Raw genomic sequence first — 23,912 nt, forward strand, 5'->3', positions numbered from 1 at the left:
ATATACAGACATTTTACAATGGTGTTGAATGGATAACTCTACCTTCAGATAGCTAGGTTTGGGTCATTTCCCAGGCTAAACTTCTATACTGATTTTACTTAACAAACAAGCTTTATTTAAAGGAAGTCTGTAATAGGAAATTGGACAGAACCTATACATATGGACACTTTAGTTTCAACCATAAATTATTACAGCAGTTTAGAAAGAATACAGTTGTGGGAAGTGGACTGTATTACTGATGAAAAACTTAGCCTGTATCCAGGAATAGGTTGTTCTCTGCATATTTTGAGACCTGAGATTCCTGAAATCCCCATTTCTCTTACCAACCAGACAGTCTGCAACAGTAGGGCTGCATTTTTCATTTCCAATATCTTAAGAATTGGATAAATGTCTTTAAGAATTTGAATAAACTGTAGTATAGCTATACACTGCAGCTGTAGAAGGGATGAGAGATATACACTGTTGTAGCATGGTCCTCAGGACATATATTGATTAAATAAAACAGGGAAAATATTTGTATGTTTTACTAAGAAGGAGGAATATTAATGTGTAAATTATTTATGATTAAAAGGTAACAAATGAGGCCAGCTGTAATGGCTCATGCCTTTAACCCCAGCACTAGGGGAGGCTGAGGCGGGTAGATTACCTGAGGTCAAGAGTTCAAGACCAGCCTGGCCAACATGGTGAAACCCAGTCTCTACTAAAAATACAAAAATTAGCTGGGTGTGGTGGTGTGCACCTGTAATCCCAGCTACTTGGGAGGCTGAGGCAGGAGAATGGCTTGAACCCATGAGGCAGATGTTGCAGTGAGCTGAGATCACACCACTGCACTCCAGCCTGGGTGATAGAGCAAGACTCCATCTCAAAAAAAAAAAAAAGGAACAAACGAGGAATAAGCCATAACACTTTTTAAAACTGCCTATAGAGAAGGAAATGAGAGACAGGACTAGCTAGATTTCCTAGGCTGACTAAGAATCTTTAAGCCTAGCTGAGAAGGTGACTGCTTCCACCTTTAAACACGGGGCTTGCAACTTAGCTCATACCCAACCAATAAGATAGTAAAGAGAACTCACTAAAATGCTAATTAGGCAAAAACAGGAGGTAAAAAAAAGCCAATCATCTATTGCCTGAGAGCACAGCGAGAGGGACAATGATCGGGATATAAACCCAGGCATTGGAGCCGGCAATGGCTACCCTCTTTGGGTCCTCTCCCTTTTTATGGGAGCTCTGTTTTCACTCTGTTTCACTCTATTAAATCTTGCAACTGCACTCTTCTGGTCCGTGTTTGTTAGGGCTCGAGCTGAGCTTTCGCTCTCTGTCCACCACTGTTGTTTGCCGCCATTGCAGACCTGCTGCTGACTTCCATCCCTCCAGATCTGGCAGGGTGTCTGCTGTGCTCCAGATCCAGAGAGGCTCCCATTGCTGCTTCTGATCAGGCTAAAGGCTTGCCATTGTTCCTGCATGGCTAAGTGCCAGGGTTCATCCTAATCGAGCTGAACACTAGTCACTGGGTTCCATGGTTCTCTTCCGTGACCCATGGCTTCTAATAGAGCTATAAACACTCACCAAATGGCCCAAGATTCCATTCCTTGGAATCCATGAGGCCAAGAACCCCAGGTCAGAGAACACAAAGCTTGCCACCATCTTGGAAGCGGCCCGCCGCCATTTTGAAAGCAGCCCGCTACCATCTTGGGAGCTCTGTAAGTAAGGACCACCAACCCCCCAGCCCCTTAACAGAAGGAAAGAGGTTGGAAGAATCAATGTTTAAATATAGACTTTTTGAAATGTAATTAGGATTTATTATTGACTTTGGGCAAATATTAGTATTTAATAATTACAAATGCATTAATTTTTTTAAAAATCCCTGAAAAATAAAACTTAAGTGAATTAAATATAATAAACGGTGTATTAAGTTGGTGAAGTAACCACCTAAACAGAATTATTCCAGTTGGTTTTCAATACATCAATTGGTCTGTACCTCCACGTGGGGTTTAATCTAAGGGCACAAAGAGAAGAGCTAAAAATAAATCTGAAACTGTTCTCAGGAATGACATTGTGGGTGGCAGTGGCATCATTGTTATTCTAATACTGTTGTATATGCAACGTGAGGAAAAGAAACAAATGAAAATTAATGTGATAGCCAGGGTACTCAATATGAGAGAAAGAAGACACAAATGGATCAAAGAGAGAAGGGATTATGTAAAAATCGTGTAGTCCTAAATTTGAACAATATTAACATGCTTTAGTGATACAAGATCTAGAAATAAATTATTTAGGTAGTGAGGGTAAGAGAGTCCTTGGCAAGGTTTCCCTTTTAATAAAAAGCAGCCCCCAAGTCATTTCTTTTCTGACAATGAGCAGCCTGAAAAATCAAGCTGCAGACATAGAAAAGCAGGCTAGATGCTTGAACAGGTGAATGCCGGCACTTGTGCCAATAGGAAAAGGCTATCTGGGGCCAGGCATATTCAACATGGCCACCCCCTCTTCCCTTTTGTTTGTCAACCACATGTACAGTAAAGAAGCAAGCAACATGGCACTGGCCAGGTGGAGAACTCATCTGCATAATAAAAAATTAGGGTGGGGAGGCCAGCTTCTTTGTGGGCTATGCAAAAGATACATCTGGTCTGACCAATCTCTCATCCTCTATGTAAATCAGACACCACCTCCTCAAGCTCATCTATAAATCCCTGTGCGTTTCACCATGGAGCCAGAAGACCCACTCAGAAGCCCCTCTCTCTGCATGAGAGGGAGCTTTTCTCTTTCACCTATTAAACCTCCACTCTCAACCTCACTCCTTATGTGTCCATGTCCTTGATTTCCTTGATATGAGGCAACAAATCTCAGGTATTACCCCAGACAAATAATGTTGTTTCATTAGTATGCTCTTGTAAAGATTTTTTCAACAGCCTATTGTCCAAAGAATATTATGTGTTATAAAAATATATTTGCTTGTCCTTTCCACTGAAAATACCTTGAAAAGATGATCGACTTCATGACAATTATTATAACTAGTGCTCAGATTGTTATCTTGATTTAATATTTTCCAATCAATGCAAAGAGAACTTTTTGGAGAAATTATTGATTCCAGATGTAATACAGGAAAGTGTAACATGAGCCTGGAAAGACGTACTACTTAAGAAGGAAACAATCTAAGAGTAAAAGCAGAATGTCCATGAGAGTCAGAAGACAACTTGAAGACTTTCTCCCTGGATAAATCACTCCAAAGAGGTAGAGATGTTAATTTAAATCTTTCTTGAAATACATATGTCAAACACTAACATGAGCTAAAGCTGATTTCAAAATTGTGAATGTATGTGTTTATAATGATACCAACAAACAGATACTGGCGAATCAACTTGGAATACTGAATGACGAACAAGTAAGCATTCACCTGAGATTTTCTATATGAATTTGTAACAATGTATAAGGAATGGTAAATGTTAGGTTAAGAATATAATCATTTTGTAGCACATAGTGAACAAATGAATCCAGCCATGGATCACCAATGAAACCACCACTGCAGGATTGCAACTGAGACAGTGAAAGAGATCCGACCTAGCCAAGTCCATCTTGCTTCTAACCTCCAGGCTGTCCTTGTTCATTTCTGAGCGGCTGAACTGACTTTGGGAGGAACTTAGTTTTCCAGGGCAGGCCTTCCTCTTGCCTGGGGAATAGACTGCCTTTGTAGGACTAATAAATTAGCTACAAGATTAGAAATTATGGTTTAGGAGTCATGCAGCTGGAGGCTACAGGATTCTGACCCTCCCTAAACTACTCCTAAGATAGTGCTTGAGATATTTTGCAGACCCTGCACTTGATGGATCAGCTGGCACAACCCAGATCAATAAACTGGCTCATCTAATCTTGTGGCCCCCACCCAGTAACTGACTCTGTGCAAGAAAACAGCTTCGACTCCCTGTGAGTTCATCTAGGTCCTGACCAATCAGCACTCCCTGCTCACTAGCTTTTCCCCACCCACCGAGTTATCTTTAAAAACTGATTCCCACACCTTGGGAGACCAAGGCAGGCGGATCACCTGAGGCCAGGAGTTTGAGACCTGCCTGGCCAATGTGGTGAGACCCAGTCTCTACAACAAATGCAAAAATTAGCCGGGCACCGTGGTGCATGCCTGTAGTCCCAGCTACTCAGGAGGCTGAGGCAGGAGAATCGCTTGAATCTGGGAGGCAGAGGTTGCAGTGGCATGATCTCAGGATCATCGCACTGCACTCCAGCCTGGGCGACAGTGAGACTGTCTCAAACAACAACAACAACAACAAAACACCTCTGATCCCCGAATCCTCGGGGAGACTAATTTGAGTAATAATAAAAGTGGGGTCTCCTGCACTGCCAGCTCTGCATGAATTACAGGATTCATTCTTTCTCTATTGCAGTTCTCCTGTCTTGATAAATCGGCTCTGTCTAGGCAGCAGCAAGGTGAACCCATTGGGCGGTTACACCAATAGCTGCTAATTATTTTTTTAATCAATTAAACATGTATCTCTGTTGAAAGTATAAAATTCCTTTTTGGATTAGTTTTGAAAGGAAAAAAAAACCTAAACCTAAACCTCAATTAAGCCTTTACATCTAAATAGCAACAACAGGATATCAATATGACAAGGATGCAATCAAGCAAGGCATTATTGCACTTTTCCCTCCATGAATAATGATAGAATTTCCTGCTTATTAATTGAGCTGTTATAATGAAAACATAACATCATTTTTATAATAGCCAGAAAAGTGATCAACAAAAATTAAGTGATTAAGGGTAACACTCCCTATGATATGGAAACATATCTGCCAAAATGTTCCTTTATTAAATGCTCCTTTATAAGAGTAAAATACATCTTAAGTATATACTATTTTTGATTTCTAAATTATACCCCAATAAAGCTGGAAAAGAAAAAATAAAACATTATTTGATTGTATAAATTTATTGTATTTTTATACATTAAATACATATTTCATAATTTTATTAAAACATAATGCTTATTTTGTGTTAATCTGTATTATATAATATGCACTATTAGTTTAAATAAATTATATGTTAAATAAATGGCTTATCTGATTACACTTTTTTTTGCCAAAATATTTGGGAAACATAAAAAGAACACTAAAGAGAATAATTAGTTATAATTCACAAACCAGAATTTCACATAAATAAAATCATATTTTGTGGGTCTTTTTATTAGAATGTTGAAGGGATAACAGATGTAAAGGCCAAGATAAACAATAAGATGGACAAATTGACACTGCAATTAAATATTGCAATTTATAATGATAATTGAATTAGTTAACCTGATAGCATTTTTAAAAAACTTGTGAGCACAATACTTGCATTATGATAGTTATTCTTTACTTAGCATTATGAAATAACCTTTTGCTTCTTGATGCCCTAACACTTAACAAAGCCTAAGTATAAAAAACAAAAATGGGATATGTAGAAAACTTTTTTAATCTCAAAAAGATGCTTAAATATCAATTAGATTGAGCTTTAGTTTTGTAAGAAAATAGATGTCATAGCTATTTTTATTACTTATGAAATATTAAGTATGCATAATATATTAATTGCAGTTAATGGAAGTAAATATTCCACAGAAGACAATATTTGAGGTCCTCTGTGGGCTAAAAGATGAACCTAACTGCTCTCAAGGGAGATCGACTACAGATAAGAGTTAGGAGGCTACTGAGAAATCCAAAGGCGACTTCCAGAAATCTTTCATGGTCTATAATACAGCAGAGATGTGGCCTGGACTTTGCTTTGTTCCCAGGAGATCAAATCTTTTGAGGTCAAAACAAAGAAACTTGAAATATTGTAGATATAAGTATGACCAGGGGGAACCCAGATACCAGAATCTAACTCATAATATCCAATGTGTCATATATTTACCTATTTTCTCTTTAAATTTTTTTTTAACTTCTAGCTCAACATTATTGAAGAGGAATAAATTTTTTTTGAACTTCTAGTTCAACATTATTGAAGAGGAATATAATGTATTTCCACATCTTCCAAAGGTTTCTGGCATTCCATTTTTATTTCCTGAAATATATCCCTTAAACCATTATAAAATAGAGAAAAACATAAAATAAAATTTGATTAGTGTGAACTTTGGTAGTGTCCAGAAGAGAAGCAATAATTTTACATTCTATCCATCATAGCAGAAATTTGACAATCTAAAATATGGAGGAGACAACTATCAGGATTTTAGCAGACAACATCTATAGAATAGAACATCCAGCAGTTCTTGAATAGCTGAAAATTAACTGACTAGGTTAGAATGAATGTGAGAGGGTTTCCTATACAATTCTGGATATCCTTATGAATGAATGGTTGCATAAGGAAGAATGGTCTTATGTGGGACAAAATTTACTAGGAAATAAAACTTTTTCCGTAAAGCTCTGAAAGGAAGATGTTCAAATGGAAGATGCACTAAGCTATAATCCAAGTGAGAGAGTTGCTGAGATCTAAGGCAAGTAGTTACTTTTCCAATTTATGCTTCAGAGCAAAATGAAAAATAGATAAATATCACATGTTCCCTTAAGCTCAAAATTAAAATGTCTGTATGTAGAATATATATACACATTTCTTGTGAGTCATAGAAGACATCAAACATTAAAGATTTTGATGGAATTATAAGACAAACCAATAAGTAAGCGAACATGTTCCCTATTTGTTGAGTAAAATAATTACATTATTTACTCTATCTTATAGTAAATATACATCATATATAAGATGTTCTATTATCTTGACAATTAGACCAAAATATTAATATTAAAAATAAAATGAATAAATAAAATAACATTATTTTAATATAAATATATGTTTTATTTGCTAAAAATCTTTAATTGGTTTCTCATATCATAAAAAGAATAATGGGTTATTAACAATCTTCTAATTTTCACTTTTATCTTTTGATGAAGTTAAGAGCACCCATTTTATGTTTAGGTGGTAATATCCTTTAATGTATACATGATGAAAAAAAGAAAAATGTATGTTTCATGTGATTGTTTCAACAAAAAAGATAATGATATTTTGCATTAATGGGACACAAAGCAGGTATTATACATTTTATTAGCTGTTTCTCAGTGATGTGGCTTATTGTCTGAAGATATCCTAATTTCTGTTAGATTTAAAGTAAGAGAACTAGTAAATAGGCTGGACTTAGAAAAAAATATTAAAACATAATGCAAACAAGATAGTCAAAACTGTCAGACTGTAGAAGATTTTTAGAATTGTATTGATAATTATATGGATCATGATGAATTATATCTTTTATCTATTTTCCTTAATTATCATTCTACCAAAATATCTTTAAAAGAACAAAAAGGAGAGTGGAAGAAGGAGAGAGAGAAAGGACGAGACATGAACCACACAATGGTCACAGAGTTTGTCCTCCTGGGCCTTTCTGATGATCCTGACCTTCAGATTGTGATTTTTCTCTTTTTATTTATCACGTATATATTAAGTGTTACTGGAAACCTGACTATCATCACCCTAACCTTTGTGGACTCCCATCTGCAGACACCTATGTATTTCTTCCTCCGGAACTTCTCTTTCTTAGAAATCTCATTTACAACCGTATGCATCCCCAGATTTCTGGGGGCAATTATCACCAGGAATAAGACTATTTCCTATAACAACTGTGCAGCCCAACTCTTTTTCTTTATCTTCATGGGGGTGACTGAATTTTACATTTTAACTGCCATGTCCTATGACCGCTATGTTGCCATCTGCAAGCCCCTTCATTACACATCCATCATGAACAGGAAACTCTGCACTCTACTTGTGCTGTGTGCCTGGCTAAGTGGGTTTCTGACCATTTTCCCACCCCTTATGCTTCTCCTCCAGCTGGATTACTGTGCTTCCAACGTCATTGATCACTTTGCATGTGACTATTTTCCCCTCTTACAACTATCTTGTTCAGATACATGGCTCCTAGAAGTAATTGGTTTTTACTTTGCTTTGGTTACTTTGCTGTTCACTTTGGCATTAGTGATTTTATCTTACATGTACATTATCAGGACCATTTTGAGAATCCCGTCTGCCAGTCAAAGAAAAAAGGCTTTCTCCACTTGTTCTTCTCACATGATTGTCATTTCCATTTCTTATGGAAGCTGTATATTCATGTATGCTAATCCATCTGCAAAAGAAAAGGCATCATTGACAAAAGGAATAGCTATTCTCAATACATCTGTTGCCCCCATGCTGAACCCCTTCATTTACACTCTGAGAAACCAGCAAGTAAAACAAGCCTTCAAAAATGTGGTCCACAAAGTTGTGTTTTATGCAAATCAATGAATTTTTGGTCAAAAATAAAGAGCACTTTAAAAAAACAATTAAGCAAAATTTTGAAATTTCTCAATATCTCTGTAAGTATCCTTGCTCTCCTAGTTTCTTTATATGCTATGTTATAGTTAATTTTATATTTTCCCAGTCCATTTCTTCCACTTCTATACAAGTTTCTCCACTGCATTGTTTATTGACCTACTTAAAAATAAAGTAAAATTTATTTTCCTTACAAAATTGTCTGGAATTATATACATTTATTTAAAACTCAACTTGTGTATGATTTTATAGTAAAGTAATTTTACTAAAGTAATTTTAATTCTGTGTATGAGTTCCTTAAAGGCACATATGTCATCATGTTGTACTTCAAATGTAGTTTCAAACTTTAATTCTTCTGTATTTTCAAGATAAATATTGATAATGTCATAACACTTTTAGACTCTACATGTTCTTTTTCATGTTCATTAAATTCAGTCCCTAGAGGTACTATGCTCTATTGCATTGTACTTTAAATGTAGAGCTTTACTTCATGAAATTTAGTGCATGCCATTTTTATTTTCTTTATAAATTAAGTTCCTTATTTAAAATACAAGAATAAATTTTAAAAACACAGTAATTTTTAAAATTATATGAATATCAATTCAATTATTAATCATTAGGCTTGAGGTATAAGTCACTGATTAATGGCTGGACTATCGGAGAATTCCACCTTCAAATGTTAATTTTACTCTCATGTTCTCCCGAATGATGTTGATAAAAAAACTTTAGGTCTAGCACACTTTATCTGTAAATTTGTATACTGCTATTGTGGGGAAAAGCAAGAGAGATCAGATTGTTACTGTGTCTGTGTAGAAAGAAGTAGACATAGGAGACTCCATTTTGTTATGTACTAAGAAAAATTCTTCTGCCTTGAGATTCTGTTAATCTATAACCTTACCCCCAACCCCGTGCTCTCTGAAACGTGTGCTGTGTCAACTCAGAGTTAAATGGATTAAGGGCGGTGCAAGATGTGCTTTGTTAAACAGATGCTTGAAGGCAGCATGCTCTTTAAGAGTCATCACCACTCCCTAATCTCAAGTACCCAGGGACACAAAAACTGCGGAAGGCCGCAGGGACCTCTGCCTAGGAAAGCCAGGTATTGTCCAAGGTTTCTCCCCATGTGATAGTCTAAAATATGGCCTCGTGGGAAGGGAAAGACCTGACCGTCCCCCAGCCCGACACCCGTAAAGGGTCTGTGCTGAGGAGGATTAGTAAAAGAGAAAGGAATGCCTCTTGCAGTTGAGACAAGAGGAAGGCATCTGTCTCCTGCCTGTCCCTGGGCAATGGAATGTCTCGGTATAAAACCCGATTGTATGCTCCATCTACTGAGATAGGGAAAAACCGCCTTAGGGCTGGAGGTGGGACCTGCGGGCAGCAATACTGCTTTGTAAAGCACTGAGATGTTTATGTGTATGCATATCTAAAAGCACAGCACTTAATCCTTTACATTGTCTATGATGCCAAGACCTTTGTTCACGTGTTTGTCTGCTGACCCTCTCCCCACAATTGTCTTGTGACCCTGACACATCCCCCTCTTCGAGAAACACCCACAAATGATGAATAAATACTAAGGGAACTCAGAGGCTGGCGGGATCCTCCATTATGCTGAACGCTGGTTCCCCGGGTCCCCTTATTTCTTTCTCTATACTTTGTCTCTGTGTCTTTTTCTTTTCCAAATCTCTCGTCCCACCTTACGAGAAACACCCACAGGTGTGTAGGGACAACCCACCCCTACAGCTATAACTTACAAAGTAAAATGTAAAAAAAAATTTCAAATATTTGTAAAATAATGAAAGCTTCAATTTTATAGATTTTAATATATTTCACATAATTTTTAGTCTTTTATGTCTCAACTATTTGCTGGTAAGATCTGGAAACCAAAGTCTTCCAATATGAGCAATTAACATGGAGACATCTCTGAGGAACTTAATCTTTAGGAATTTGTGATACTTTAAAAGTTAACCTGTGCCTATATTTGAAATAATTTTAAGGATCTTTCACATGTGCCTTTTATTTGTTTATTCACTTATTTATTTATAAATGTATCTACTAAAGAAATGATTCAGTGATTGAAAAGATTTGTTCTTGCTCTCACACAGATCTAGTAAGAGAGAAAAACATAAGCAAATGGATGACCACAATGCAATTTTATGTGTTGTATCTCTATGAAGAATATATTGTATAGATATGTACATTCTCTATGAAGAATATATTGTATAGATATGTACATGTACAATCTATACATATTGTATAGATATCTAAATGATAATAGACTTACAACATTGATAATATTAATAATTTGAAAAGATATACTGATAAGGAAGTTAGAATAATTGTTATTTTTTTTCTTCTGTCAGGATAGCCATGAAGAAGATAACAGGTAAAGAAAAAAATACAATATCAGAAAGCCTCTGATAAATAGACATACCACTCAGATCTAACAGTTAGTACTTACAATGTCAGACATATTACTAAGTGCATAAACTTAATTATTTCTTTGCACTCTTATGACATATATAGTCATATTTTTTCAGTTGCTAAATGACTTGATCAATGTTGTCACATAAATGATATGAATAGATTTTATTCTTTTAAACTCTCCTGGCTTATCCAAACAAAAGCTGTAATTCTGATCAACTTCATTACATTAAAATATTTTTATAAGTATAATATTTGGTCTGTGCAACTCTAGCAAAAAGAAAAAATAGTGTTCATATATGTAAATTTTGGTTCCATCAAAATATTAGATTTTAATTTTGTGGCTTTTTATCTATAATTACCCAACAAAGTATAAGCAATGAGAAACACGTTTCTCTTTGGTTAAATGAGTTGAGGACCATTTGTGGAATTTTTGAGTTATGATGCTTGACCTTCAATTTGCCAACAGTAAGAACTTAAGAAAATTAGACATGCTAGCTTTTTGAAGCTAATACTTCAGTTTTGATATTATTTTCTAATTGTGAGATCAATTACAAAATACATGGAAACTTTTTTTACTAAGAAACGTTATTCAAATGCAACATTAGTATGCGCAGAGGCTATGAGATGAAAGTCTTAGATTTTGTTGCAAGTCCATGGTTTTGTTTGGCTGTCGGGAAGGTGGAACTGCCTCCCTAACAGGTAGAGACAGTACTCTTTGCAAGCAGTCATCAATCAAGTTGCCTATGAAATCTTTGGATAAAATAAATATTAACAGTAAGGAGAACAGTGCTAATTAAGTTCATGTTGAAACAATGTGTCTTCATTCCCATTTATTTGGGTATAGACCAAGGTAATTTGCTACTCAATAAGGAATCGAGACTAGATGGATTCACTGGGAAAATGATGCTTTCACTCTCATCGTGTGGGTGTTTTACCCTAACATGCTGAGTTACTCCTGTAATAAGAACTTTGGCTATCAGGAAAAACTCTTGTCTCCTTGAGAAAGTTATTTTCTGTGCCTCGTTTTCCACATAAACTTACGAACGTTTCATGGCCTAGTACATATAGGAAACTCCCCATTATATGCAAGGCAGGGTGGTTTTTCTGTTGTTATTGGTTTGGTTTTGGTTTTGGTTTTTGGGTTTTTTTTTTTCCAGGCAGGGTCTGACTCTGTTCCCCAGGCTGGAGTACAGTGTCACGATCTCGGCTCACTGCAACCCTCGCCTCCTGGGCTCAAGCGATCCTCCCATGTCAGCCTCCTGAGTAGCTGGGAATACAGGTGTGCCCAAACCACCACGCCCGGCTAATTTTTTTATTTTTGGTAGAGACAGGGTTTCGCCATGTTGCCCAGTCTGGTTTTGAACTCCCCGGCTCAAGGGATCCACCTGCCTTACTGTGCTGCTGGATTTGGTTTGCCAATATTTTGCTGATGATTTTTGCATTTATGTACACCAAGGATATTGGCCAGAAGTTTTCTTTTTTAGTTGTGTCTCTGCCAGGTTTTAGTATCAGGATGATGCTGGCCTCATAGAAGGAGTTAGGGAGAAGTGCCCCTTCCTAAATTTTTTAGAATAGTTTCAGGAGGAATGGTACCAGCTCTTCCTTGTACATCTGGGAGAATTCAGCTGTGAATCTCTCTGGTCCTGGGCTTTTTTCATTGGTAGGCTATTTGTTACTCAATTTCAGAGCTTGTTATTGGTAAGTTCAAGGATTCAATTTTTTCCTGATCCAGTCTTGGGATGGTATATGTGTCCAGGAATTCATCCATTTCTTCCAGATTTTATAGTTTATGTGCATAGAGGTATTTATAATATTTTCTGATGGTTTGTATTTCTGTGGGGTCAGTGGTAATATCCCCCTTGTCATTTCTCACTGTGTTTTTTGAATCCTTTCTTTTCTTCTTTATTAGTCTAACTAGTGGTCTATTTTATTAATTTTCTCATAAAACCATATCCTGGATTGTTAATCTTTTGAGTGGTTTTTCATGTCTCAATCTCCTTCAGTTCAGGTCTGATTTGGGTTATTTCTTGTCTTCTGCCACCTTTGGAATCTGTTTGCTCTTCGTTCTCTACTTATTTTAGTTGTGATGTTAGGTTGTTAATTTGAAATCTTCTAATTTTTGACTTGGACCTTTAGTGCTATAAATTTTCCCATTAACACTGTTGTATCTGTGTTCTCATTAGTTTCACAGAACTTCTTGATTTCTGCCTTAACTTCATTTTTTATCCACATGTCATTCAGAAGCAGGTTATTGAATTTCCATGTAATTGTATGGTTTTGAGTGAATTTCTTAGTCCTGATTTCTAATTTGATTGCACTGTAGTCTGAGAGTTTGTTATGATTTCAGTTATTTCGCATTTGCTGAGGAGCGTTTTATGTCTGTAGTTGATTTTACAAGTGATTTATTTTAGAGTATTTGCCATGTGGCAGTGAGAAGAATGTATATTCTGCTGTTTTGGGGCAGAGAGTACTGTAGATATATATCAGGTCCATTTGATCCAGTGTTGAGTTCAGGTTCTGAATATCTTTGTTAATTTTTTGTCTTTATGATCTATCTAATATTGTCAGTGGTATGTTAAAGTCTCCCACTCTTACCGCATGGGAGTCTAACTCTCTTTGAAAGTCTCTAAAAACTTGTTCTATGAATCTACATGCTTCTGTGTTGAGAGCACCAGTATTAATCCTTCTGCCATTTGCTTTAGTTTCAGTGTTCATATCACAGAGAAGTTCATGTCATAAAAGAAGTCAAAAGAATTCTTGAATAATCAGAACCTTTCTGCCAGATTGTCTAGTGTAAATTTGTTTTCTGGCACTGCTTCTTCTGTATCTTCTTCCTTATCATCTGGCTCTGGTTTGGGAGCACTTATCTCCATTGAGTTATCTCCTGTTTTCTCTTTTAGTGGTGTCTATTAGCTCTTGAAGTTCTCCAAGATGCATATCTTGAAATCCTTCATCGCCTCCTTTTTTTTTTTTTTTTTTTTTTTTTTTTTTTGCCATATCCACAATCTCTTCCATGATTTTCTTGATTGTTTCTGTCTTAAATCCTGTGAAGTCATGCACAACATCTGGACACAGCTTTCTCCAGCACGAATTTATTGTTTTCGGCTTGATGGCTTTCACAGCTTTTTCCGTAACAATGATGGCATCTTAAGTGGTGTGATCTTTTCAGACTTTAATGATGTTCTCTCAGAGTTCTATAGTATTGACAATCCTTTCCATAGAGTACCATGAATAATGAGCCTTAAAGGTCCTTATGACCCCTAACCTAAAGGCTGAATTGGGGATTTGTGTTTGGGGGCAAGTAGATTACTTTGGTGCCTTCTGCATTGAACTCATGGGGCTTGGGGGGCCAAGGGTATTGTCCAATATCAAAAGAACTATAAAATGCAGTCTCTTACTGGCAAGGTACCTCCTGACTTCAGAGATGAAGCACTATGAAACCAATCTAGAAAAAGAGTTCTCGTTCACTCCTTCTGGTTGTACAACCAAAACTGGCAGGTGGTGTTTATTTTTTCTTTCAAGGATCAGGGATTGGAGGCTTTATAAACAAGAGCGGTTCTGATCATAAATCCAACTGGATTTGCACAAAAATTAGAGTTAGTCTTCCCTTCTTGCCTTAAATCCTGGTGCTCATTTCTCTTCCTAATAAGTGCCCTTTGTGAAAAATTTTTTCTGGAATAGTGCACTTTTGTCTGCATTAAAAAAACTGTAGGGGCAAATGTCCTTTCTCCTCAATGATTTCCTTAATAGTACTTGGGAATTTGTCTATGGCCTCCTGATCAGCAGAAACTGCTTCTTCGGTTAATCTCCTTATTTCGTTTTTTACAATGGTCCTTACACTGGATTATTTATTTTGAAATAGTGGGCCACCACAGCTGCAGACTTCAATCTCTGGTACATATTAAGCAATTCAAGTTTTTCTTGCAATGTCATGATTTTTTTCTACCTTTTGGGGGCACTTCCACCGTCACTAGTGACACTTCACATGGGTGTCATATTTCTAGGCTACGTAGTTTATCTGCAAGTTTTTTTAAATTGTTGCAAATCTCCAAAAGTTTTCCCAATACAGTTATTGAAAAAAGTTCATATAGAAGGAGACCTGTGCAAGTAAAACACATGTTGTTCAAGGATCAACCATACTAGAAAATTATGTATAATTTATTTTTACTTTATATTTAAAATTTTCCTCACAATAAGGGGCTCCATGAAATATTATTTTCATTTAAAAAATAAAAAAACTAAAATTCAGAGATATTAAATAATTTGTTCAAAGTCACAATATTGTATATAGCTAAATTACATTTCTAATCCAAAACCCATAGGTTGCTCCATTAGTCCCACAAGTTATAAATTAATATTGTTATGGTTTTCATAAGAACATCTTAATGTCCTACTTTTCAGGAGAGCTTTTGTTTTTTAAGTTAAAAATCATCTTCAACTATAGATAGCTAGTTAACAAAATAGAGACACTTGGACTATAAATAGAACATATCTGAAAACCTACAGATTTTGAGAGTAATTTGGATGATTACTATTTTTACTTATTGTTCTCATTCATACTTGTCAGGACTTTGGTCCGACTTGGGATTCAAATTCACCGATTTCTGTTAGAAAAAAAATTAAAAGTCATTTTTCCCCCCTGAGGACTCCAAGGAAACAATTCTGTACTAATTATAGGAATGTCATAAGACATTTCCAAAGTAATAATCTCTAAGGTAAAATCTGAGAAAAGTTTAAACTGATTTTTATGAAGCCTTTTGTATTCAACCAGATTATATTATTGCACTCTGTATGTTAGTGTGTACCCATTGTTTAACTTCCACTTATAAGTGAGAACATATGGCGTTTGACTTTCTACTTCTGAGTTATGTTACTTAGGATAATGGCCTCCAGTTCTATCCATGTTGCTGCAAAAGACATTATTTTATTCTTTCTATGGCTGAGTAGTATTCCATGGTATATAATTTATACATATATATACCATATTTTCTTTATCAACCATCTGTTGATGGACACTTAGATTGATTCCATGACTCTGCTGTTGTAAATAGTGTTGTGATGAACAAATGAATGCAAATATCTTTTTTATTTAATGGTTTATTTTCCTTTGCGCACTCAGAAGTGGGATTGCTGGATGAAATGGTAGCTCTATTCTTAGTTCATTGATAAGTCTCCATATTGTTTTCCATAGGGGTTGCACTAATTTACATCCCCACCAACAGTTAAGAAGCATTCCGTTTTCTCCCTCTTCTTGCCAGTATCTGTTTTTTTTTTTCTTTTTAGTAATAGTCAAATAAATGCAACTTTTAGCAAATATTGCTCTGACATTGGTAGTGGGACTTGGGAAGGGTTTCCCTAAATTCAAAGGACCGGACAGGCACGGTGACTCATGCCTGTAATCCTGGCACTTCGGGAGGCTGAAGTGGGCGGATCACGAGGTCAGGAGATCCAGACCATCCTGTCTATCACGGTGAAACCCCATCTCTACTAAAAATACAAAAAAATTAGCCGTGTGCGGTGGTGGGAACCTGTAGTCCCAGCTGCTCGGGAGGCTGAGGCAGGAGAATGGCGTGAACCCGGGAGGCAGAGCTTGCAGTGAGCTGAGATCGCGCCACTCTGCACTCCAGCCTGGGCAACGTATCGAGACTCCATCTAAAAAAAAAAAAAAAACTCAAAGGACCAATACAGGGATAAAACTCCTCATAGGACCTTAATATTGTCCATTTCAGAAGACAATTAAGTCATACTGGAAATCCAAAGCCGTGTTTTCTACCATCTCATAGTGAAACAGAAAAGTCTCTTTTCCGGGTTGCCAAAATTCAAGAGATACGCTTATGTAAGTATGTTAATTCTCCTGAAGATAGGTCCAGATTTTCTGGAAGAAATGTATGGATTATTACAATTGCAGAAGAATCAAATTCTAAATCAAAGTTTCATACATTCATTGTCACATGTGGTTTATATATTTGCCTCATTTACATTAATAATTATGTTTTTATACTTTCTTATCAATATTTATAAAATGTCTAATACCAGTGATTCATCTGTATTTTTTACTGATGCCTCACCTTGGCACACTTTGCTTACATAATGAATTCCCATGAGCCAACAAGAAAGACACATAAAATAAGTCTAACTCCATTTGTATAGCATACATAGGGAGGGATATTCTTTATTTTCTATTGCTCAAATCAGAATTTTCAGGAAAATGTAACATTGTCTGAAGCCTAAGGGAAGTATGAATTAGATTTTATGAATATATAATTATAAGGTTTTAAAATATTATTTAAAATGTTTTCATAAATTCAAAGAAGAATGTTTTAACAAGTGTTTGTGTATTACATGGAAAGGAGAAAATGGAAGACTACTTTACTAATCAATCCAGGTATAACTGTGTTTATAAATGGATCTTGTGTGAGAGAGAGGAAAAGCAAGAATTCATTATAATATAATAAAATGTTCCAACAATTTTACAATATCAGGAATTAAGGGTATTGTGGGTCAAATATTTCTAGTCTAGGGGAGAACTGTAATGTCTAAAAGCCATGAAAAATAACCACATTTGTTTTATAAGTACAAAAGAAACCAAATAAATTGATAAATAAATTTTCCAGCTCTGAAATTATATGGTTATTTAAGAAAGCTAGATGGTGAAATTTGAGATAAAATTATTGAGAAAAACCAAGGAGTAAGTAAGTTTGTTACTTTTAAATTTAATACATATTATTCCACTTACATGTTTTAAAAGATTATTTGCATGTATGATTGTGGACTTATAGCCCTTACAATAATAAAAGTTGTATAGTTGTTTATTACTGAGACGACTATAAATGTAGTCCCAAAGCAGAAACAAAGCAGTAACTTTTGGTTTGTTCATTTTTCTAAATAAGTTTAGATGTTATGCTGTGATAGAAATAGGATTTTAAAAAGGCATTTACTATTTGAAATACCTATTTCCCATTAAGTGTTATTTTGACCATCCACTTGTTTTTTTGCTATAGCAATATTGTTTAAAAAAGAAAAAAAACTACAAAACAAAAAAAAACAAATTGTGTATTATATTAATTAAAATGTTTTTAGGCAATTATTTGTTTTAGCAACAGAAGTTTTCCTTTATTGTTCTTCTCATCTTTTTGCTAAAAAAAGGAAAAAAAAGTGGATCAGGGAAGGTGATAGCATCAACCAATCCCATAAGTAATACCAGGAGACAATGCCAGCAAAACATTCCCATGAATAGACATGCATTATTTTTCTAAAGTGAGATGATTTTCTATGGTGACTAGTTGTTTAACCTCATGAAAGTTTCCTAACCTATGTGAGACTGAGTTTCTCAAAATATGACATTTCAAGATAGAACTAAATAACATCTGTAAATTTTTAAACCCTATATTTAGATTGTGCTGCATTCCAGGTTGATTTAAGTAACTGGAAGATTAGTTTTGAAGAAATATTAGAAGAAGTGGCTTCTGTTTAAATGTTAGCATCATAATTTTTTATTTATGGCCTGTAATAATGTATTTTCAGTGAAGAAAGACTGATATTTAACTTCTAATAATATTTGTTACTTGAATGAAAGGCAGATTGGAAACTACAGAGGGTTGCTAATGGGGAACTCTTAAAATTTTATAGATTATTCATTAATTATGTATATTTTAAAAATATTATGCCTATCTTCAACAGTTTTATTTTTTTTTTAACATTCTATAGGAGGAACATACATTTTCTCTTCTAAAGGGGAAAATAAAGATCAGCAATGAAAAACTACACAGTACTCACAGAATTCATTCTTCTAGGGCTATCAGATGACCCAGAATTTCAGATTGTGATTTTTCTCTTTTTAATTATCATGTACATATTAAGTGTCACTGGAAATTTGACCATCATCACTCTCACCTTGGTGGACTCCCATCTGCAGACCCCCATGTACTTCTTCCTCAGGAACTTTTCTGTATTAGAAATAACCTTTACAACTCTCTGTTTCCCTATATTTCTGGCCACCATTATCACCAGACACAAAACTATTTCATACAATAGTTGTACAGCTCAGTTGTTTTTCTTCATCTTTATGGGTATAACTGAATTTTACCTTCTAACAGCCAAGTCCTATGATCGTTATGTGGCCATCTGTAAACCCCTTCATTATATGACCATCATGAACAAGAGAGTCTGCATATTGCTTGTCTTTTGTGCTTGGTTGGCAGGTTCTTAAATATCTTCCCCCCAGTTATTCTTTTTCTCCGGTTAGATTACTGTGGCTCCAATGTCATTGATCACTTTGCTTGTGACTATTTCTCCCTATTGCAATTATCCTGCATAGGGAGGCACATGGCTCCTAGAAGTGATTGGTTTTTACTCTGCAATAGTAATTCTGCTTTTCACTTTGGCATTAATCATTCTATCCTACATGTTTATCATTAGGACAATTTTGAAACTCCCCTCTGCTAGTCAGCGAAAAAAGGCATTTTCTACGTGTTCCTCTCACATGATTGTCATTTCCATTTCCTATGGAAGCTGCATATTCATGTACGCTAATCACTCTGCAAAAGAAAGAGCGTCGTTGACCAAAGGAGTAGCTATTCTCAATACCTCCGTTGCTCCTATGATGAATCCATTTATATACACCCTGAGGAACCAGCAAGTGAAGCAAGCCTTTAAGGACACCATCCAAAAGGTTATGTTTTTCTCTGGTAAATGAAAGTATTAATAAGGTTTAAAAAAAACCAAGTTACAGTAAATGCTTTCTATTATATATATCCTCTCAACACTCTCTTTCCTTCATTATAGTTAAACATGCATTTTTATTTCCATATTAAAATTTCCACCACATTGTATTCAATAAATTTGATAAAGCTGAATATTGCTTCATAGTTTTCTGAAAATTAAAGTATTTTATTCATGTGTATTTGGATGAAGTAGAAAATCTGGGTGAATGATTGTGATTTTGAATAGGAGTGGTTAGCTTTGGAAGAGACTTAAGGCATTTAGTTTGATGATGTAAGTGTCACGATAGATGTGGACCTGGGAACTATTCATTCTTACCAGATACTATATATGAATGTTCTTAGGAAATGTGATCCTACTTGGCATTTCTGTCAAATCAAATACAATCACCAAGAGTTTGAGAATAAAATATAAATATCCATGTAAATGTTTGAAAACATTAGAGGGGGAGGAGCCAAGATGGCCGAATAGGAAGAGCTCCCGTCTGCAGCTCCCAGCGTGAGTGACGCAGAAGACGGGTGATTTCTGCATTTCCATCTGAGGTACCGGGTTCATCTCACTAGGGAGTGCCAGACAGTGGGCGCAGGCCAGTGGGTGCGCGCACCGTGCGCGAGCCGAAGCAGGGCGAGGCATTGCCTCACCTGGGAAGCACAAGGGGTCAGGGAGTTCCCTTTCCTAGTCAAAGAAAGGGGTGACGGATGCACCTGGAAAATCGGGTCACTCCCACCCGAATATTGTGCTTTTCAGACCGGCTTAAAAAACGGCGCACCACGAGACTATATCCCACACCTGGCTTGGAGGGTCCTACGCCCACGGAGTCTCACTGATTGCTAGCACAGCAGTCTGAGATCAAACTGCAAGGAGGCAGTGAGGCTGGGGGAGGGGCGCCCGCCATTGCCCAGGCTTGCTTAGGTAAACAAAGCAGCCTGGAAGCTCGAACTGGGTGGAGCCCACCACAGCTCAAGGAGGCCTGCCTGCCTCTGTAGGCTCCACCTCTGGGGGCAGGGCACAGACAAACAAAAAGACAGCAGTAACCTCTGCAGACTTAAATGTCCCTGTCTGACAGCTTTGAAGAGAGCAGTGGTTCTCCCAGCATGCAGCTGGAGATCTGAGAACGGGCAGACTGCCTCCTCAAGTGGGTCCCTGACCCCTGACCCCCGAGCAGCCGAACTGGGAGGCACCCCCCAGCAGGAGCACACTGACACCTCACACGGCAGGGTATTCCAACAGACCTGCAGCTGAGGGTCCTGTCTGTTAGAAGGAAAACTAACAAACAGAAAGGACATCCACACCAAAAACCCATCTGTACATCACCATCATCAAAGACCAAAAGTAGATAAAACCACAAAGATGGGGAAAAAACAGAACAGAAAAACTGGAAACTCTAAAACGCAGAGCGCCTCTCCTCCTCCAAAGGAACGCAGTTCCTCACCAGCAACGGAACAAAGCTGGATGGAGAATGATTTTCACGAGCTGAGAGAAGAAGGCTTCAGACGATCAAATTACTCTGAGCTATGGGAGGACATTCAAACCAAAGGCAAAGAAGTTGAAAACTTTGAAAAAAATTTAGAAGAATGTATAACTAGAATAACCAATACAGAGAAGTGCTTAAAGGAGCTGATAGAGCTGAAAACCAAGGCTCGAGAACTACATGAAGAATGCAGAAGCCTCAGGAGCCAATGCGATCAACTGGAAGAAAGGGTATCAACAATGGAAGATGAAATAAATGAAATGAAGCGAGAAGGGAAGTTTAGACAAAAAAGAATAAAAAGAAATGAGCAAAGCCTCCAAGAAATATGGGACTATGTGAAAAGACCAAATCTACGTCTGATTGGTGTACCTGAAAGTGATGCGGAGAATGGAACCAAGTTGGAAAACACTCTGCAGGATATTATCCAGGAGAACTTCCCCAATCTAGCAAGGCAGGCCAACGTTCAGATTCAGGAAATACAGAGAACGCCACAAAGATACTCCTCGAGAAGAGCAACTCCAAGACACATAATTGTCAGATTCACCAAAGTTGAAATGAAGGAAAAAATGTTAAGGGCAGCCAGAGAGAAAGGTCGGGTTACCCTCAAAGGGAAGCCCATCAGACTAACAGCGGATCTCTCGGCAGAAACCCTACAAGCCAGAAGAGAGTGGGGGCCAATATTCAACATTCTTAAAGAAAAGAATTTTCAACCCAGAATTTCATATCCAGCCAAACTAAGCTTCATAAGTGAAGGAGAAATAAAATACTTCACAGACAAGCAAATGCTGAGAGATATTGTCACCACCAGGCCTGCCCTAAAAGAGCTCCTGAAGGAAGCGCTAAACATGGAAAGGAACAACCGGTACCAGCCGCTGCAAAATCATGCCAAAATGTAAAGACCATCGAGACTAGGAAGAAACTGCATCAACTAATGAGCAAAATCACCAGCTAACATCATAATGACAGGATCAAATTCACACATAACAATATTAACTTTAAATGTAAATGGACTAAATTCTCCATTTAAAAGACACAGACTGGCAAGTTGGATAAAAAGTCAAGACCCATCAGTGTGCTGTATTCAGGAAACCCATCTCACGTGCAGAGACACACATAGGCTCAAAATAAAAGGATGGAGGAAGATCTACCAAGCAAATGGAAAACAAAAAAAGGCAGGGTTTGCAATCCTAGCCTCTGATAAAACAGACTTTAAACCAACAAAAATCAAAAGAGACAAAGAAGGCCATTACATAATGGTAAAGGGATCAATTCAACAAGAGGAGCTAACTATCCTAAATATATATGCACCCAATACAGGAGCACCCAGATTCATAAAGCAAGTCCTGAGTGACCTACAAAGAGACTTAGACTCCCACACATTAATAATGGGAGACTTTAACACCCCACTGTCAACATTAGACAGATCAATGAGACAGAAAGTCAACAAGGATACCCAGGAATTGAACTCAGCTCTGCACCAAGCGGATCTAATAGACATCTACAGAACTCTCCACCCCAAATCAACAGAATATACATTTTTTCAGCACCACACCACACCTATTCCAAAATTGACCACATAGTTGGAAGTAAAGCTCTCCTCAGCAAATGTAAAAGAACAGAAATTATAACAAACTATCTCTCAGACCACAGTGCAATCAAACCAGGGCTCAGGATTAAGAATCTCACTCAAAGCCACTCAACTACATGGAAACTGAACAACCTGCTCCTGAATGACTACTGGGTACATAACGAAATGAAGGCAGAAATAAAGATGTTCTTTGAAACCAACGAGAACAAAGACACAACATACCAGAATCTCTGGGACACATTCAAAGCAGTGTGTACAGGGAAATTTATAGCACTAAATGCCCACAAGAGAAAGCAGGAAAGATCCAAAATTGACACCCTAACATCACAATTAAAAGAACTAGAAAAGCAAGAGCAAACACATTCAAAAGCTAGCAGAAGGAAAGAAATAACCAAGATCAGAGCAGAACGGAAGGAAATAGAGACACAAAAAACCCTTCAAAAAATCAATGAATCCAGGAGCTGGTTTTTTGAAAGGATCAACAAAATTGATAGACTGCTAGCAAGACTAATAAAGAAAAAAAGAGAGAAGAATCAAATAGACACAATAAAAAATGATAAAGGGGATATCACCACCGATCCCACAGAAATACAAACTACCATCAGAGAATACTACAAACACCTCTACGCAAATAAACTAGAAAATCTAGAAGAAATGGATACATTCCTTGACACATACACTCTCCCAAGACTAAACCAGGAAGAAGTTGAATCTCTGAATAGACCAATAACAGGAGCTGAAATTGTGGCAATAATCAATAGTTTACCAACCAAAAAGAGTCCAGGACCAGATGGATTCACAGTCGAATTCTACGAGAGGTACAAGGAGGAACTGGTACCATTCCTTCTGAAACTATTCCAATCAATATAGGGAATCCTCCCTAACTCATTTTATGAGGCCAGCATCATTCTGATACCAAAGGCGGGCAGAGACACAACCAAAAAAGAGAATTTTAGACCAATATCCTTGATGAACTTTGATGCAAAAATCCTCAATAAAATACTGGCAAACCGAATCCAGCAGCACATCAAAAAGCTTATCCACCATGATCAAGTGGGCTTCATCCCTGGGATGCAAGGCTGGTTCAATATACACAAATCAATAAATGTAATCCAGCATATAAACAGAGCCAAAGACAAAAACCACAAGATTATCTCAATAGATGCAGAAAAAGCCTTTGACAAAATTCAACATCCCTTCATGCTAAAAACTCTCAATAAATTGGGTATTGAATGGACTTACCTCAAAAGAATAAGAGGTATTTATGACAAACCCACAGCCAATATCATACTGAATGGTCAAAAACTGGAAGCATTCCCTTTGAAAACTGGCATAAGACAGGGATGCCCTCTCTCACTACTCCTATTCAACATAGTGTTGGAAGTTCT

General features: G+C 36.8%; 1 protein-coding gene and 1 pseudogene across 2 annotated transcripts, besides 1 other annotated feature; both read left to right on the forward strand.

Moving 5' to 3' along the window:
- The first annotated feature begins 5,702 nt into the window (after nt 1–5,702).
- OR6C3 (olfactory receptor family 6 subfamily C member 3) lies at nt 5,703–8,296 on the forward strand. 2 transcript variants are annotated; one of them, NM_054104.2, is made up of 2 exons: nt 5,703–6,012; nt 7,317–8,296. In NM_054104.2, the coding sequence occupies exon 2, from the start codon at nt 7,361–7,363 to the stop codon at nt 8,294–8,296; it is 936 nt and encodes a 311-aa protein (NP_473445.1). In that variant the 5' UTR covers nt 5,703–6,012; nt 7,317–7,360. The 2 variants fall into 2 exon arrangements, with proteins under 2 accessions (NP_473445.1, NP_001375427.1); NM_001388498.1 differs by lacking the exon at nt 5,703–6,012 and adding an exon at nt 6,406–6,467.
- On the forward strand, nt 18,498–19,436 carry OR6C7P (olfactory receptor family 6 subfamily C member 7 pseudogene; annotated as a pseudogene).
- Nucleotides 20,187–20,740: an enhancer, noted in NCBI's record as "NANOG-H3K27ac-H3K4me1 hESC enhancer chr12:55738311-55738864 (GRCh37/hg19 assembly coordinates)". NCBI's record gives its function as "activates a minimal SCP1, AML or CMV promoter by ChIP-STARR-seq in naive H9 embryonic stem cells {active_cell/tissue: H9 hESC(naive)}" and the evidence as "EXISTENCE:reporter gene assay evidence [ECO:0000049][PMID:30033119]".

The sequence above is a fragment of the Homo sapiens genome, chromosome 12 (assembly GCF_000001405.40).
Source record: "Homo sapiens chromosome 12, GRCh38.p14 Primary Assembly".
NCBI classification, from domain to species: domain Eukaryota; kingdom Metazoa; phylum Chordata; class Mammalia; order Primates; family Hominidae; genus Homo; species Homo sapiens.

What these genes read in the sequence shown, in the direction of transcription:
- OR6C3 (NM_054104.2), top strand. Translation starts at nt 7,361, where the DNA reads ATGAACCACACAATGGTCACAGAGTTTGTCCTCCTGGGCCTTTCTGAT.